General features: G+C 36.5%; 1 long non-coding RNA gene across 1 annotated transcript; it reads right to left on the bottom strand.

The window, feature by feature from the left end:
- Window positions 1–5,139: 5,139 nt before the first annotated feature.
- LOC105373222 (uncharacterized) lies at window positions 5,140–16,743 on the bottom strand. Its single transcript, XR_949312.2, has 3 exons — window positions 16,631–16,743; window positions 6,185–6,251; window positions 5,140–5,236 (listed from the first exon to the last, which is right to left on the bottom strand). It is a non-coding gene; the product is annotated as an uncharacterized LOC105373222 (long non-coding RNA).
- Window positions 16,744–17,120: the final 377 nt, after the last annotated feature.

Genomic DNA, 17,120 nt, shown 5'->3' with positions numbered 1-17,120 from the left:
ACTAAGATCAGAGAAGAACTGAAGGAGATAAAGACCCAAAAAAAAACCCTTCAAAAATCAATTAATCCAGGAGCTAGTTTTGAAAAGATCAACAAAATATCCACTAGCCAGAATAATAAAGAAGAAAAGAGAAAAGAATCAAATAGATGCAATAAAAACGATAAAAGGGATATCACCACAGATCCCACAGAAATACAAACTATCATCAGAGAATAATATAAACACCTCTACACAAATAAACTCGAAAATCTAGAAGAAATTGATAAATTCCTGGACACATACACCCACCCAAGTCTAAACCAGGAAGACATCGAATCCCTGAATAGACCAATAACAAGTTCTGAAATTGAGGCAGTAATTAGTAGCCTACCAACCAGAAAAAGTCCAGGACCAGATGGATACACAGCCAAATTCTACCAGAGATACAAAGAGGAGCTGGTACCATTCCTTCTGAAACTATTCCAAACAATAGAAGAAGAGGAAATCTTCCCTAACCCATTTTATGAGACCAGCATTATCCTGATACCAAAACCTGGCAGAGAAACAACAAAAAAGAAAATTTCAGGCCAATATCTCTGATGAACATTGATGTGAAAATCCTCAATAAAATACTGACAAACCGAATCCATCAGCACATCAAAAAGCTTATCCACCACGATCAAGTTGGCTTCATACCTGGGATGCAAGGCTGGTTCAATATATGGAAATCAATAAACATAATTTGTCGCATAAACAGAATCAAAGAGAAAAACCACATGTATATCTCAATAGATGCAGAAAAGGCCTTTGACAAAATTCAACACCCCTTCATGCTAAAAACTCTCAATAGACTAGGTATTGATGAATCATATCTCAAAATAATAAGAGCTATTTATGACAAACCAACAGCCAATATCATACTGAATGGGCAAAAGCTGGAAGCATTACCTTTGAAAACTGGCACAAGACAAGGGTGCCCTCTCTCACCACTCCTATTCAACATAGTATTGGAAGTTCTGGCCAGGGCAGTCAGGCAAGAGAAAGAAATAAAGAGTTTTCAATTACGAAAAGAGGAAATCAAATTGCTTCTGTTTGCAGATGACATGATTGTATATTTAGAAAACCCCACTGTCTCAGCCCCAAATCTCCTTAAGATGATAGGGAACTTCGGCACAGTCTCAGGATACAAAATCAATGTGCAAAAATCACAAGCATTCCTATACACCAATAACAGACAAACAGAGAGCCAAATCATGAGTGAACTCCCATTCACAATTGCTACAAAGAGAATAAAATACCTAGGAATACAACTTACAAGGGATGTGAAAGACCTCTTCAAGAGAACTACAAACCTTTGCCCACTTTTTGATGGGGTTGTTTGTTTCTTTCTTGTAAATATGTTTAAGTTCCTTGTAAATTCTGGGTATTAGACCTTTGTCACATGGGTAGATTGAAAACGTTTTCTCCCATTCTGTATGTTTCCTGTTCACTCTGATGGTAGTTTCTTTTGCTGTGCAGCAGCTCTTTAGTTTAATCAGATCCTAATTGTCAATTATGGCTTTTGTTGCAATTGATTCTGGAGTTTTTGTCATGAAGTCTTTGCCCATGCCTATGTCCTGAATGGTATTGCATAGGTTTTTTTCTAGGGTTTTTATGGTTTTGGGATTTACATTTAAGTCTTTAGTTCATCTTGAGTTAGTTTTTCTATAAGATGTGTAAGGAAGGAGTCCAGTTTCAATTTTCTACATATGGCTAGCACCATTTACTGAATAAGAGATCCTTTACCCACTGCTTGTTTTTGTCCAGTTTGCCAAAGATCAGATAGTTGTAGATGTGAGGTGTTATTTCTGAGATCTCTGTTCTGCTCCATTGGCCTATATGTCTGTTTTGGTACCAGTGCCATGCTGTTTGGGTTACTGTAGCCTTGTAGTATAGTTTGAAGTCAGGTAGCGTGATGCCTCCAGTTTTGTTCTTTTTGCTTAGGATTGTCTTGGCTATGCAGAGTCTTCTTCGATTCTATATGAAATTTAAAACAGTTTTTTTTTTCTAATTCTGTGGAGAATGTCAATGGTAGTTTCACGGGAACAGCATTGAATCTATAAATTACTCTGGGCAGTATGGACATTTTGACAATATTGATTATTCCTGTACATGAGGATGCAATGTCTTTCTATTTGTTTGTGTCCTATCGTATTTCCTTGAGCAGTGGTTTGTAGTTCTCCTTGAAGAGATCCTTCACATCCCTTGTTAGCTGTATTCCTAGGTATTTTATTCTCTTTGTAGGGATTGTGATTGGGAGTTCATTCATGATTTGGCTCTCTGCGGGCCTGTTGTTGTTGTAAAGTAATGCTTGTGAATTTTACACAAAATTTTGATTTTGTTTCCTGATACTTTGTTGAAGTTGCTTACCAGTTCAAGAAATTTTGGGGCTGAGATGCTGGGTTTTTCTAAATAGAAAATTATGTCGTCAGCAAACAGAGACAACTTGACTTCCTCTCTTCCTATTTGAATACTTTTACGTCTTTCTCTTGCCTGATTAGTCTGGCCAGAATTTCTAATACTATATTGAATAGGAGTGGTGAGAGAGGGCTTCTTTGTCTTGCACCGGTTTTCCAAGGGGATGCTTCCAGCTTTTGCCCATTCAATATTATATTGGCTGTGGGTTTGTCATAAAGCTCTTATTATTTTGGGAAATGTTTCATCAATACCTAGTTTATTGTGAGTTTTTAACATGAAGGTATATTGAATTTTATTGAAGGCCTTTTCTTCATCTATTGAGATGTGGTTTTTGCCATTGGTTCTGTTTATGTGATAGATTACATTTCTTGATTTGCTCCACTTTTACCTTTAGTATAAAAACTTCCCAATGCTATTGTCAGAAACCAAGTGCTATTTATTTAATAAGAAGATTTAAGACAAAAGGCAGCAAGACAGTCTTGCGTATCTTCAAGATATTACTGTGTGTGTGTGTATGTTTGTGTGTGTGTGAATTTGTCTTTGGGAAGCTTATTTTTCCATAAACAATACAATTCTGCATTTCTAAATATTAGGAGAAAACAAATAGCAGTTCAATGATGTTTCCACAAACTATTAAATTTTAAAATATTTTCTCTAATTTTGAACATGTGCCTTTTGAAAACAAATGACTCTTTTAATAAGAGAAACTAGTGCATAGGAAAAAGATGAAAAGTTTTGAAGTATGAGTTCATTCTGGACAAAATAGAGCAAAACACGAATGCAGTAAACCCTGGCTTAATGAACAGCATCCACAGTGATGAGTCCCCTCTCAGCCAACTGCCTCATGTCTCCCTAGTGTCTACTGTGATTTACGATGACTAACATCAAAATAAACCTTGGGGACAGGAGAAGCAGAGGTGTGGTCCAGAGAGTTGTGAAGAACATGGAAGAGAGTGAGCTGGATAGTGAGTCTACATAGGTCACTGTAATTGGAAATAACTCTTATTTGTAGCCAAGGGAATCTACTCTTTTGAGCTAAAGGGATTAAATAAGACAAAAGAAGGAGTGGACTGAAAAAATCATTTTCTAAGCTAAGCTTCAGGGAATGATTATCAAACTCCACCACAAAATACAGATTCCAAAAAAATGGATTTTTCTACCACACTTAGGAAGCTGTAGATAAATAAGCCAGAACTGCACAGTGAAACAATTCAAAGATCCTTGGGGTATCACCAAGGAACTTAGATAACAAAAGTTAAGTTTGCAACAATATTTGTATTTGTCCATTTGTATATTGTTAGGATAAGGCAGACTGCACTGACACTAAATATGTCGTTGTACCAAATAACGGAAGTTGATTATGTTTTCTTGATTATGCAACAGACATAGGAAGTTATCTTTTCAACAAATATTAAGGATTATGTGTATATTAGTTCTTGTATAGACCTAAACATGTCGGTCCATTAAAAATCATTCAATATATAGAAGCATTTTTCTTTACTATGTAAAAGATCAGGATAGTCCCAGATTTACTGGAACTCTGGATCTTCAACGTGTATGCTCTTGGTCACTTATGAGTTTTTTCCAACTCAGTCCACCTGAAGAAAGATAGAAATGGAGACGCACATACTGGACAGATTTAGAAATAGACCTGAGAGTGGCACAATGCAGTTTTGTTCACAAAGTATTGATTAGAAATCACCGATGTAGCTGCATCTAACTGCAAAGGAGACGGAGAAACATCGTTCAGGTTTGCGTGTAGAAGAAATGGAAACAGGTTTTGATGGATAGCTAGAATCTCAACCAAAATATAAAAGAAGTGTGGTGTGTTTGGCTGTTTCAAGGACAATTCATAGTGGAAGACATAAAAGCTGCAGGGTATACCTTAGGAAAGCTGGGGAATGCATGCATAATTAGTTGATAACAAATGAATATAAATAAATATAGAAATGAGCCCAAGAAGGATTAGGGCTTAGAGGGGTAATAGTCAGCTAGAATTACATGGCATTTAAAACTTATAGAGACTATTGAATACTTAATCACAATGTATACATTGTGATTTAAATTGAATATCCAAGATACCTTTGCTACATAATGTTATACAATAAAATATAGAAAATCTTACTAAGTGTTCTGTTTAAGCTAAATAATGATTTTCAGATCCATCTGGTTGGGTTATTTCTTAAGTAAGGGGACATGAGAAAAGGTATCTAGATGAATAGCTGGAGAAATGGCAGGCAGGAGCCATTGAAAGAAAATACGGAGACTCCTTGAAGAGTATGAAGTTTTTTGCCCCTTAAAGCTCGGTTCATTTTACTTATATTAAAAGGTTCCTATTAAGTACTTATAGTCTCATTGATTAATCTATTCTTTGTACTCCCAGAACACTTCACATCATCTTCTATAATATAATACATGCTTAGTTACCATGGCTTAAGTTTGGTCAGAATTTCACTTTAGTTTGTATATCAAATAAAAATAATAACACCTGCATATTCAAAATTACTGAGTACATCATGTCACTGATTCAAATTTTATTCACTTCAAAGACATTGTAAACTAACTAAAGGTATAATATGGAATTCTGCACCATACAAAGTTCTTAATACATATTTACTAAGATAATAAATTAATACACTAAGGAAAATGATTTGAAAAAATAGTTTATGTTTTAGAACTCTTAAATAAAAATAATACCTAATAACTTGTAGAAATATATTCCAACATAATGTGACTTGTTCTTCCAAAAATGTGACTTGCACCTCCCATAATGTTGCAATTCAACAAATCTGTATGAGGTCTAGAAAAAAATGAGAAAATCAGGTATAAGGGGCTTCCCAGCTAAAGAATATCAAATTGAACATTCTGGCACCTAGCTTTGTTCAAAACTCAGATGTAATATGAACTCTAGGTCTACTATTCATACATATTCTCAAACAGTTCAAAACAATACAGATAAAAATATGTTCAATTCTATTTTAAAATGAAACATACATTCATGTGAAGAGTGTTTAAAAGAATCCTCCTTCTTCCTGTTGTTTGTTAAGGTAAAATGTCAGCAATGAGCAATCAAAATGTGTTTGATGTATTTTGTATCTCAGAATACATTACTCAGAGATGTACATTTTTGGATAAGGAACTACAAATACCACCTTAATAGGTTATATATACTGTATATTGTTTTATTTAGACAAGATAACAAAATATACAAAATGCTCAACTTCATATGAAGTTGAAATATTGAACATTGTTGATATATAATATTTTATAGTTGGCAAAGTTGCATGCTTTTTACTGCCAGATATATTTAATATACTCTTTAAACTAATAATTCACCAAAGAAGTCATAATATTAAATTTTGTTTTTCTTATCATTATGTGAGGGTTTTTTTGGTTTGTATTTTGTTTTATAATGACCTAATCTCTGAATATGAAATCAATTTGTTAAAGAATTTAAAGATGTTTGGTGAACAAAGATTTTAAAAGATAGCAAAAGAGGAAATGTTTTATTACTTCAAAGTCACCTTTTTAGCAAGACTACAATAATGTCCCTTTCTCAACAGTCATTTGAAATTCTACCACTCACCAAACTAGCCCCCCTAGTTTGCTAGAAAAATTGAGACATACAAACATACATAATAAACAACTGTCTAAAAGAAGAGCCAGATGTAGGTTCGCATATGAGCTGATTATATGTACATAGATCAAAATTATACAAAATATATAGAGTGTAAAATCTTGTTCCTACCTCTGTCCCATCTGCCATGATCTCTCTCCTTTCTCTCCTCTTAGAGAAATTTCTTGTATATTATTGTCTAGAAATAAAAGTATATATGAGTTTGTAGTCTTATTTTTTATTGCACATATAAAGGTTTCCTGTATACATATATCAATACATATAGATGTAGATGTGAATTTTGATAATTCCACAGGCCAGCATCTTGCTTTTCACTTAAAATGATTCATATCAGCACTTAGAGACCCTCCGAAGTATTTATTTTAAGTAATTATACAGTACTATATTTTGCGGGCATTTCACAGTTTATTTAATCAATCTCCTATAGAGGAAAGCTAGAATTACTTGCAGTTTTTTGTTACTGCAAAAGAAAAGAGTTAAATGAACAATTGTGGACATTTTATAAGTGGGGACATTTTATAAGTGTACCGATATAGATATGGGTATAGATACTCAGAAACATAAAAGCATTTTGTCAAAGGGAGATATTTTTCTTTGGAATTTTGATCATTGTTAAAGTCTCACCAACAAAGTGTGTTGTTGTCACACTTTTGATGTTTTATCAATTTTGGAAGGTGAGAAATATTTTGATTTAGCATTAATTTGCATTTCTCTTATTATGACTGAGGTTCATATGTATTTATGAGCCATTTATATTTATTTGTTTACCATGGCATTTACTAAAAAGCTTATCTTTATCTTGCAAATGTAAGATGATGTCTTTACATTCTAAATTCACAAATACATGTAGATCTATTTAAGAACTTTCTACTTTGCAAAATTAGAAGGTTGTGTATTCATTTACCAGTACATCATTGTTTTAATTTACATGGCTTTTAGAATATGCTTTAATATTGAGTTCTCCTAGATATTCTTCTGTATTTTAGAATAATAACTTTGTGTAATTCCAGAATAAAAGGTCTCAAAGTATTATGGAGACCACATTAAATTATAAAGTAATTTAAGAATTAACTTTATTATTTTGAATCTACCTATTCAAACAAAAGATGCCTTTCCATTTGTTCAAGTCTTATTCTGTGTCCTTTAAGGGTGCTGTAGTATTTTTTTCTGTAGCAGTTTGATATCAGATCCTTAAATTTTATCCCTAGGAATTTCTTGTTGATGTTATTTAAAGTGATTTTAAATCTTTCCCATTACATCTTCTCACTGGTTGTTATTTGTATATATGAAAGATATCAATTTCTGCACACTGATTTTTCCATCAGTGTACTTACTGAATCCTCTTGTTTTATAGAAGTTGTTGAGTTGATCATTTTATATTTTTTCATTTAAAAAATATACTCCTCTGAGCCGTGCAGGGTAGGTGCACCCAGCTGCTGGGAAAGCTGAGGCAGGAGGATCATTTGAGCTAAGGAGTTTGAGACCACCCTGGGCAACATAGCAAGAACCCCTCTAAAAAACAAACGAGAAAACCCCCAATATTATCATCTGTAAATAGAAGATTTTTTTGTCTTCACTATTCGTATTTTGATATTGATTATTCCTTTCTCTTGTATAATTACACTGTAATATAATTGGCTAGTATCTTTTATAACACATTAGAGGGCACATTGGTTTTGTTCCTGAGTTTAACAGAACTTTAGAAGGACTATTTCTAGTCTTTTTCCCGCTAAGCATGATGCCAGGTTTTGGAGCAAACATATGCATACACACTGAGATATAGATGGGCCAGTTTTGTCATATATAAAAAAAATCTTATTCTTATTTTATTGAAGACATTTTTAAATCAAGATTTATTGTTAAATTTTAACAAGTGCTTTTGTAGTATCTGTGAAGATTAACATGATTTTCTCCTTGTGCTACGAACTATATTAAGCGCTCTTCTAATATGAGAATACCGGGGGTGGGGCCAAGATGGCCAACTAGAAGCAGCGTGATCAGAGGCTCCATGGAAAAGAACCATAACGTGTGCGAATCCTGCACTGGCAAACAGGGCATCCGGGTTCTGTCATCACAACTGACTAGGCAGCTGGCATGCCCCACGGAGTGGAAGGAAGAGCAGTGTGGTATGGCAGACCACCTGAGAGCCACATGGCACAGGGGAGCCTCCACCCCCAAGCCAAGGGAGGCATTGAGCGAGTGTGCGACCCAGCCTGGGAAAACGTGCTTTTTCCACAGAACTGTGCAACCTGCAGATTGAAAGATCCCACTCATGAACCCACGACACGGGGACTGAGAGTCCCAACCACAGAGCCACGCCAATTCTCAACAGCCACTAAGCTAGAATCTGCTTGAGCCTGCCCCGACCAGCACCACAGCTGCGGCTACCTGCTGTCTAAGCCATTTGATCTCCTTGAGGGAGGGAAAACAGCCAACACTGGGACTGACAGTCTCCTAACACACTAAGCTCCCAGGGTAGTGGAAGGGCAGCAGCCATCTCTATAGCTCCAGGCCACACTTTTCCTCTGCTGGAGTAGGAAGCTGGATGGCCTGGTCCCAGAGGTATCCCCCACAGCCCAACACACCAGCTGAGGCAGACTGTGGACAGAGTGCCTCTTCAGGCCTGACCTTAACCCATCTGTCCTCACTGGGTGGGGCCTTGCAGGAACTTCAACAACTCCAGCCAGGGGCTCAGAGACAGAACTTTGATCTCCCTGGGCCTGAGCCCCTGGGGGAGGAGTGGTTGCAGTCTCAGCAGACCAGCAGGGTAAGTGTTTCCTCCTGCTGATTCTGAGAAATCCAGGCAGCCCAGACAAGGGGGTTTCCCCCCAGTGAAGCACACCCCCTCCACCAAGGGACAGTCAAAGTACTTTATTAAATGGGTCCTGCTCCCTGTGCCACCCAACTGGGTGAGACCCTCCAACAGGGGTTTTCAGACACTCCATACAGGAGCATTTCTACTGGCATCAGGTCGGTGCCTCTTGAGGTCAGAGAACCCAGAGGAAGAAGCAGGCACCCATCTTTGCTGTTCTCCAGACTCCTGGAGTGATCTCTCCAGGTGCTGGAGCAAACCAGATGAATAGGGCCTGAAGTGAACCCCCCAGCAAACCACAGCAGCCCTACAACAGAGGGTCCTGAGCATTGAAAGAAAAATAAACAGAAAGCAACAACAGCATCAACGAAAAAAGTCCCCACAAAAACCCCATCCAAGGGTCAGCAGTCTCAAAGATCGATGCTAGAGAAATTCATGAAGATGAGAAAGAATCAACAAAAAAATGCTGAAAACCCAAAAAGCCAGAGTGCCTCTACTCTTCCAAATGATTGCAATGCCTCTCCGGCAAGGATGCAGCACTGGACAGAGGATGAGATGGATGAATTGGCAGAAGTAGGCTTCAGAAAGTTGGTAATAACAAACTCTGCTGAGCTAAAGGAGCATGTTCTAACCCAATGCAAAGAAGCTAAGAATCCTGATAAAAGGTTACAGGCGCGGCTAACTAGAATAACCAGGCTGGAGAGGAACATAAATGACCGAACGGAGCTGAAAAACATAGCACGTGAACTTCGTTAAGCATACACAAGTATCAATAGGTGAATCAACCAAGCAGAAGAAAGGATGTCAGATTTTGAAGATCCTCTTGCTGAAAAAAAGGCATGCTGATAAGATTACAGAAAAAAAGAATGAAAAGGAATGAACAAAACATCTGAAAAATATGGGACTATGTAAAAAGACTGAACCTATGATTGATTGGAGTACCTGAAAAAGACAGAGAGAATGGAACCAAGCTGGAAAACACACTTCAAGATATTATCCAGGAAAAATTCCGCAACTTAGCAAGACAGGCCAACATTCAAATTCAGGAAATACAGAGAACACCAGTAAGATAGTCCATGAGAAGATCAACCCCAAGACACATAATTGTCAGATTTTCCAAGGTCAAAATGAAGAAATAAATGTTAAATGCAGCCAGAGAGAAAGACCAGGATACCTACAAAGGGAAGCCCATCAGACTAACAGCAGACCTCTCAGCAGAAAACCTACAAGCAAAAAGAGAGTGGGGGCCAATATTCAACATTCTTACAGAAAAGAATTCTCAACCCAGAATTTGTGCAAAATAAATGGATAGTATCATGATGACAGGATCAAATTCACACATAACAATAATAATCTTAAATGTGAATGGACTAAATGCCCCAGTTAAAAGACACAGACTGGCAAATTGTATAAAGATTCAAGACCCATCGATGTGCTGTATTCAGGAGACCCATCTCACATGCAAGGACACAAAGAGGCTCAAAATAATGAGATGGAGGAAAATTTACCAAGCAAATGGAAAGCAAAAAAAAAAAAAAAAAAAAAAAGCAGGGGTTGCAATCCTAGTCTCTGACAAAACACACTTTAAACCAACAAGGGTCAAAAAAGACAAGGCCATTACATAATGGTAAAGGGATTAATTCAACAAAAGGAGCTAACTATAAATTGACAGAAGTAGGCTTCAGAAGGTTGGTACTAACAAACTCTGCTGAGCTAAAGGAGCGTGTTCTAACTCAATGCAAAGAAGCTAAGAAATTCTACTATTATTTTTGAAAAGTAATCCTAATTAATTAAATATTGGTTTTATTAAATGTATATTGACTATGTACAATGATCTAGGTACTATAAGAAATATCCGGCCGGTCACAGTGGCTCACGCCTGTAATCCCAGCACTTTGGGAGGCCGAGGCGGAAGGATCACAGGGTCAGGAGATCGAGACCATTCTGGCTAACATGGTGAAACCCTGTCTCTACTAAAAATACAAAAAAAAAAAAAAAAAAAAAATTAGCCGGGCGTGGTGGTGGGTGCCTGTAGTCCCAGCTACTCAGGAGGCTGAGGCAGGAGAATGGCGTGAACCTGGGAGGTGGAGCTTGCAGTGAGCCGAGATCACACCACTGCACTCCAGCCTGGGTGTCAGAGCGAGACTCTGTCTCAAAAAAAAAGAAAGAAAAAAAGAAAAAAGACATTTCAGAGATACCTAGAGGATGAAGGAGAACGGGGAGGGGGGTCGGGAATGAAGAAGAAAACATAAGAACACTCCTCCATGGAGTTATCCAATAGTGGGGATTCATAAAATTGTTTACTAATTTGCTATGTGAGAGTTCTGAAATGCCCATGTTCTACAGTTATTTGGAGTATTTCAACAAAATAACTAGTCTGATCTGGTGGTAGATATAGAATCCTTTTCTCCTATTCTTGGCTGTGCAAGTAAGCTATACTTTAGGCTCCCTTACAGTTACAGTGGCCATTTGACTCTGTTTTAGCCAGCGGACTATAAGATGATTTGAGATGTTCCACTTTTGTGCCTAGTATATAAAATTTCTTATGCCCCCTTTCTGTACTCTTTCCTTTTCTGTCTGATAGATGCAGACTATAATGAGGTCCCAGGGGATGGAAAAGACACAGATGAAATCAGCATGAGTCTCTGAATGCTCATGTAGTGAAGCGCCCCTGACAATCTCAACACCCTCCCAGGGAGCTCACATCAGCAAAATGTTAACTTCTATGTGACTAAACCACTAAAATTGTGGTGTCTGTTTTTTAGTCCAACAAGCCTGATCCACAGGGTCTGTGTTTTTAAGAATTAAGCATGTTAAAATGGTGCCAAACAGTATAAAATTGGATAATTAGAGAAAAAGGAAACATTAACACTATATCCTCCTAAAACAATAAGGATAGTAACAGAGCCCGTGGGTTAATGTATGACCCATAGACAAGAGCAGGGTGCTCAGATTATCTATTGCTGTAGAACAAATTATTATGAAACTCAGCAACTTAACCACAATAACATTTTGTTCTATCTTATTACTGCTTAACATTTGAGGGTCAGGAATTGAGGTAGAAATCAGCTGAGTGAGATGTGTCATTGACTGAAATTGTAATGGTAGGTGGGGGATTACTTCATTTATATGTCTTGTGCCTTGGTGAAAAATGGCTCTAAGACTGGGCTCTGTTGAGACTATGGACTGGGAGGACAAGCATGGAACTTCTCCCCAGATCTTGGAGTACTCTAACTTCTTAAACTGTAGCTCAGGCCTCCCACAGAGTGTTTTAATAGATGTGCTTGAAATCTGCAATGTTTTATGTGATCTGGCCCCAGAAGTTTCAGCTCAATTTCAAAGGCAGGAAAATTGGATCCCACCTTTCATTGGAAAATGTGGCAAATAATTTGCAGTCACCTTTAATCTAAAGCTGAACAACTCTTTTTGACAATCTGGAAAAATATTAATTGATACAGTGTAGGTTTGTTTTTAGAATCTCTTGGGGAAAAGTTGAGGAATTTCTACAGATTATTGACTCTGTAACATAGGACTGTGAGATACCATTCCTGAGGGCTTTTGGAGAGGCTATAGGTTACTAGGCATGCTGGTTCCAGTTCTCTCGGAAGCAGGCACCAAGATGGAATTGGATGTGTAAATGATTTATTTAGGGAAGATTCTGTGAGGGACAAAGGGCAGAAAGAACAGGAGTTAGCAGGGAGAGCTTTAGACCCAATGCAGGTCTGCCAATCAGTAAAGAAGATTTTTGCTAAAAAAGGAAAGAAGACTGAGTAGATGGAAGCTTATACTGAAGTGCAGCTCTGAGGCAATCTCAACCAGGATGAAGGGGAGTCACAGGGCATAGTGTGCATTTGAGGGGTCCTTCAGAAATAGAGTTCTATTTCCTCTACCATGTTCAATCAACACGTGAGAATGACCCAGGAAGGAGAATATAGCCTGTTTGTGAATGCTATGAGGAATTCAAAGTTGTCACAGCTAGAGTCACTAATCCAACTGCATTCCTTATGGTGGGTCTTTCCTGAAGCAAGATGTGAGCAGTACACTTCCATATCTACACATTAGACTTGAGAGTATTAGGTATAAAAAATGGTCGTGGAGAATGGGAGAGTTGACTCACAACGCATAGTAATGACTTCCATAATTGATACACCTGGGCTTAGTGTCCATAAATTTTGAGTGTATAGATGTCCTATGAGTATTTCTGGCTCAGCTGACTAGGTTGAACATTTAACTCTTATTTCCTTTCTTCCTCCTTCCTTTAGTGCTCTTTGTCTTTTATAAATTATTATGCAATTGATTCAATTGCATCAATAAGGAAGAAAGAATTGAATAATTTTAAAGCATATATTCAGATGATTTAAAAAATACTTCCCCTTTTTTTTGACTAATCGGATTATCTACTGTAAACATTCATGTACACGTTCCTTGGAACAAATGGTCAACTCTTCTGGGTGGGAATACACTAGTGAGTAAAATTTTCAGGTCATAGGGAATGTATATGCTCAAGTTTAAATATTAAGGAAAACGTTTTCCAAAATATTTTAGTAATTCCCAATCCCATCTGCAGAAACTGAGAGTTTCTATTGCTCTACTTTTTTGCTAATATTTGATATTGTCATTTGCTTGTTGTTTGTTGGTTTTGTTCATTTTTTTGTTTTGTTTTGTTTTTCTATTCTGTGGGATATATAGTAGAATTTAATTATGCTTTAATGTGAATTTTTATGATTACTAAAAGGAAAGATAATCTTACCTGTTTTTATTGGAGATTTGAATATCCTTTGTTACAAATAAAAAACAATGTACTATAACAACTATTTACATAGCCTTTACATTGCAATAAGTATTATAAGTAACCCAAAGATGATTTAAAGTATATGGGAGCATGTTCATCGCTTATTTGCAAATACTACACCATTTTATTTAAGGGACTCAAGCATCAGTGGATTTTGGCATCTATATGGGGTACTGGAACCAATCTTACTTAGATACCGAGGAATAGCCATATTGTAAATACCTCCACTGACCTGTGGCTTGCATTTTCACATCTTAAATATCTTTTGATAAATTTCTATCCGTGTTGAAATTGATAAATAAATTGGGATATATTCATATGAGAATTCTATACAGTAATAAAAATGAATAATCAGCAGTTAATTGCAAAACATGCATGGATCTCAAAAACATATTTATAAAGAAAATAGTCTAACAAAAATAAAATATCCTTTATGATCCTCTTTCTTACATGTTACAAAACAGGCAAAGATAACCCATGCTTTTAGAAGTCAGGGTTGTGATTGGGCTATGGAAGAGGCTTCTGGGGTTCTGGCAATTTTTTTTTATTTGATTCAAGTTGTATTTACATAATTGTCTGCTTTTTCAATAACTGAGTTGTACAAATTCTGTTCTGTGTACATTTTAGGTATGAAATATATACTATATCTCACCTTTAAGAAAATATTAGAAATGTAAATTGTTAATTTTACCAAGAAAATGCAAAAAATACTAAGAAAAAGCATTCTTAATGCACTGTGTATTTCAAGGGAGTCTTAGTGAAGAAGAATACAACAAAACACAATAAACTCAGAGAATTATTGCATCAACTTACATTTTGTTATCATCTATGATGTTACCATAGAATTATTTTGTATCCCGTAGGATGCTTTCAGTTCTATGCTAAAAAGTCAAACTCGAATTTGTCTGAACAAGGAAAATTAACGTCTTGGTAAGAAGTTCAGGTCTAGAGAACTTTCAGAGCATGTTGAATGCATTGCTATAGACTGAATTTTTATGCCCTTCTCCCACCAGATTAATAAGTTGAAACTGTAATCCCCAGTGTAAGATGAAGCCTTTGAGGGGTAATTAGGTCCTGGGAGTGAAGCCCTCATGATAGGATTACTGGTCTTATTGGAAAAGACAGGGGAGCTCTCTCTCTCTCACTCTCTCTCTCTCTCTGCCATGTCAGGCTATAAGGAGAAGAAAGTTGCCTGAAAACCAGGAGGAGTACTCGCACCTGAGGCTTGATCTGCTGATGCCTCAGTCTTGGACTTCCCAGCCTCCAGAATTCTGAGAAATAAATGATTTCTGATGAAACCACATAGTCTATAGTAATTTACTATTGCAGTTAGAAATAAGATATTATGATTCAATAAAGGCTTCAGGGACCCAGATTGCAAAATCTTTCTGTTTTTCTATCTTGTATAGGATTGTCTGAGACTGGTCCATCTGTGTCAAATATAGTAATATCTAGACCATACAATATTCTGAGTTTTAAAAGGGGCTCCCTCTCAATCAATGAGAGCAGAGGCACATTTGCTAGAAGCCCCTCAGAAGTTTCTGTTAGTCTCATTTGGCAAAATTGTATCACATGATATAGGTTAAACCAATGATTGGTAAGGGGAACAGAAACATTATGATTGACTTACATCAATCAAGACCCAACTCTGGGCTTGAGATGTGCATTGCAGTTGTGAATTATTAACCACAGAGGAGAGAAAAGATTCCATTTAGAAACAGAGAGAGGTTAAAAAAAAAAAAAAGAAACAACTGGGTGGATACAAAGAAGGAAGGAAGGAAGGTAGGAAGGAAGGAATTAAAGAAGATAATTAGTTTGTCATAAGAAGATACCAGATTGGGTGGTTTAAATGACAGAAATTTATTTTCTCACAGTGTTGGAGGCCAGAAATCCCAGATCACAGTGCCCTTGGGGTTGGTTTCTGGTGAGGGTTCTTTTTTCTCTGGTGTCTCTTCCTCTTCTTATAAAAACACCAATCCTATCAGATTAGGGGGCTCACTCTTATGACCTCGTTTATCCTTAACTGCCTTCCTGAAGGCCCTACCTACAAATACAGTCACTTTGGAGATTACGGCTTCAAAGTAGCAATTTGGGGGGACACAATTCACTTCATAATAGGAAGAAAGAAGGATGAAAGGAAGGAAATAAGAAGTGAGATTGTAGATATAATACAGCATATATGCCTTGCCAATTTCATTTTCCAAGAAGAGGAGCTATATATATTTACAAAGGCAAAAATAGAGTAAATACACCATTGATAGTTTTTACATAAAGCTAAGTGGTGGCAATATGGGTGATTACCATACAGACAGTATATAGATCATTACATGATGTACTACGAAGTTAAAGGACTCTTACAGTGCCCTTTAGATCACGTTTTTTGGTTTTCTTCTGCCTTGTATATTTTACAGTGTATATACATATATACATATTGTGTGTGTATATATATATATACACAATTTTGTATATATATACACAATTATATATATATATACACAATTTTGTATATATATACACAATTATATATATATATACACAATTTTATATATATATATATATTAGTTTTCTTCTGCCTTGTAACACGCTGTACAGGTTTATAGCCTAGGAGCAATAGACTGTGTACCATATAGCCTAGGTGGCTATATCATGATTATGATCATGCATAAATTAACAGTTGAGATACTTACATTCTGACAAATATATCCGTAGGCAATTACATCTTTGTGTGAACATCAGAGTGTACTTACACAAACCTAGATGTTATAGCCCACCTAGGCTATATGGTATACAGCCTATTGCTCCTAGGCTATAAAACTGTACAGCATGTTAATGTACTGGATACTGAAGACAATTATAATACAAAGTTAAGTATTTGTGTATCTAAACATAGAAAAGGTAGGGTAAAAATGTGGTAGAAAAGATTTTAAAATGGTGCATCTGTAAGGGCACTTACCGTGAATAGAGTTTGCAGGACTGAAAGTTGCTCTGTGTGAGTTGGTGGGTGAGTGGTGAGTAAATGAGAAGGGCTGGGAGCACAGTGGGTTTGTTTACACCAGCACCACCACAAACACGTGAGTAATGCGTTGTGCTATGACACTAGGATGGCTATGATGGCACTAGGTGATGGGAAATTTGTAGCTGCCTTTGTGATCTTATTGGCCCATTGTTACATAGGCAGAGTCCATTGTTGGCCGAAGCATCGTTATCTGCACATGACTGGAATGTGCTTTACTCTCCCTTTGAAATATGAATTTCTTTTCTAGTGATTTATATTTTTTTTATAAAATCAAATTCAGTTTGCATATATTAAACCACTATCATTTAAAATATTGGCTATATTATCAACCATTAAACAGATTTATGGTTGTTTTACTTTTTCAAAGTAAGTCTGTTCTCATTTTTCATACCACGATCAGCAATCATTTAAAATTTTTTATTATTCA

The sequence above is a fragment of the Homo sapiens genome, chromosome 1 (assembly GCF_000001405.40).
Source record: "Homo sapiens chromosome 1, GRCh38.p14 Primary Assembly".
In the NCBI taxonomy this organism is placed as follows: domain Eukaryota; kingdom Metazoa; phylum Chordata; class Mammalia; order Primates; family Hominidae; genus Homo; species Homo sapiens.
The sequence above is the reverse complement of the archived record's forward strand: the minus strand, read 5'-3'. Positions and strand labels throughout refer to the sequence as shown.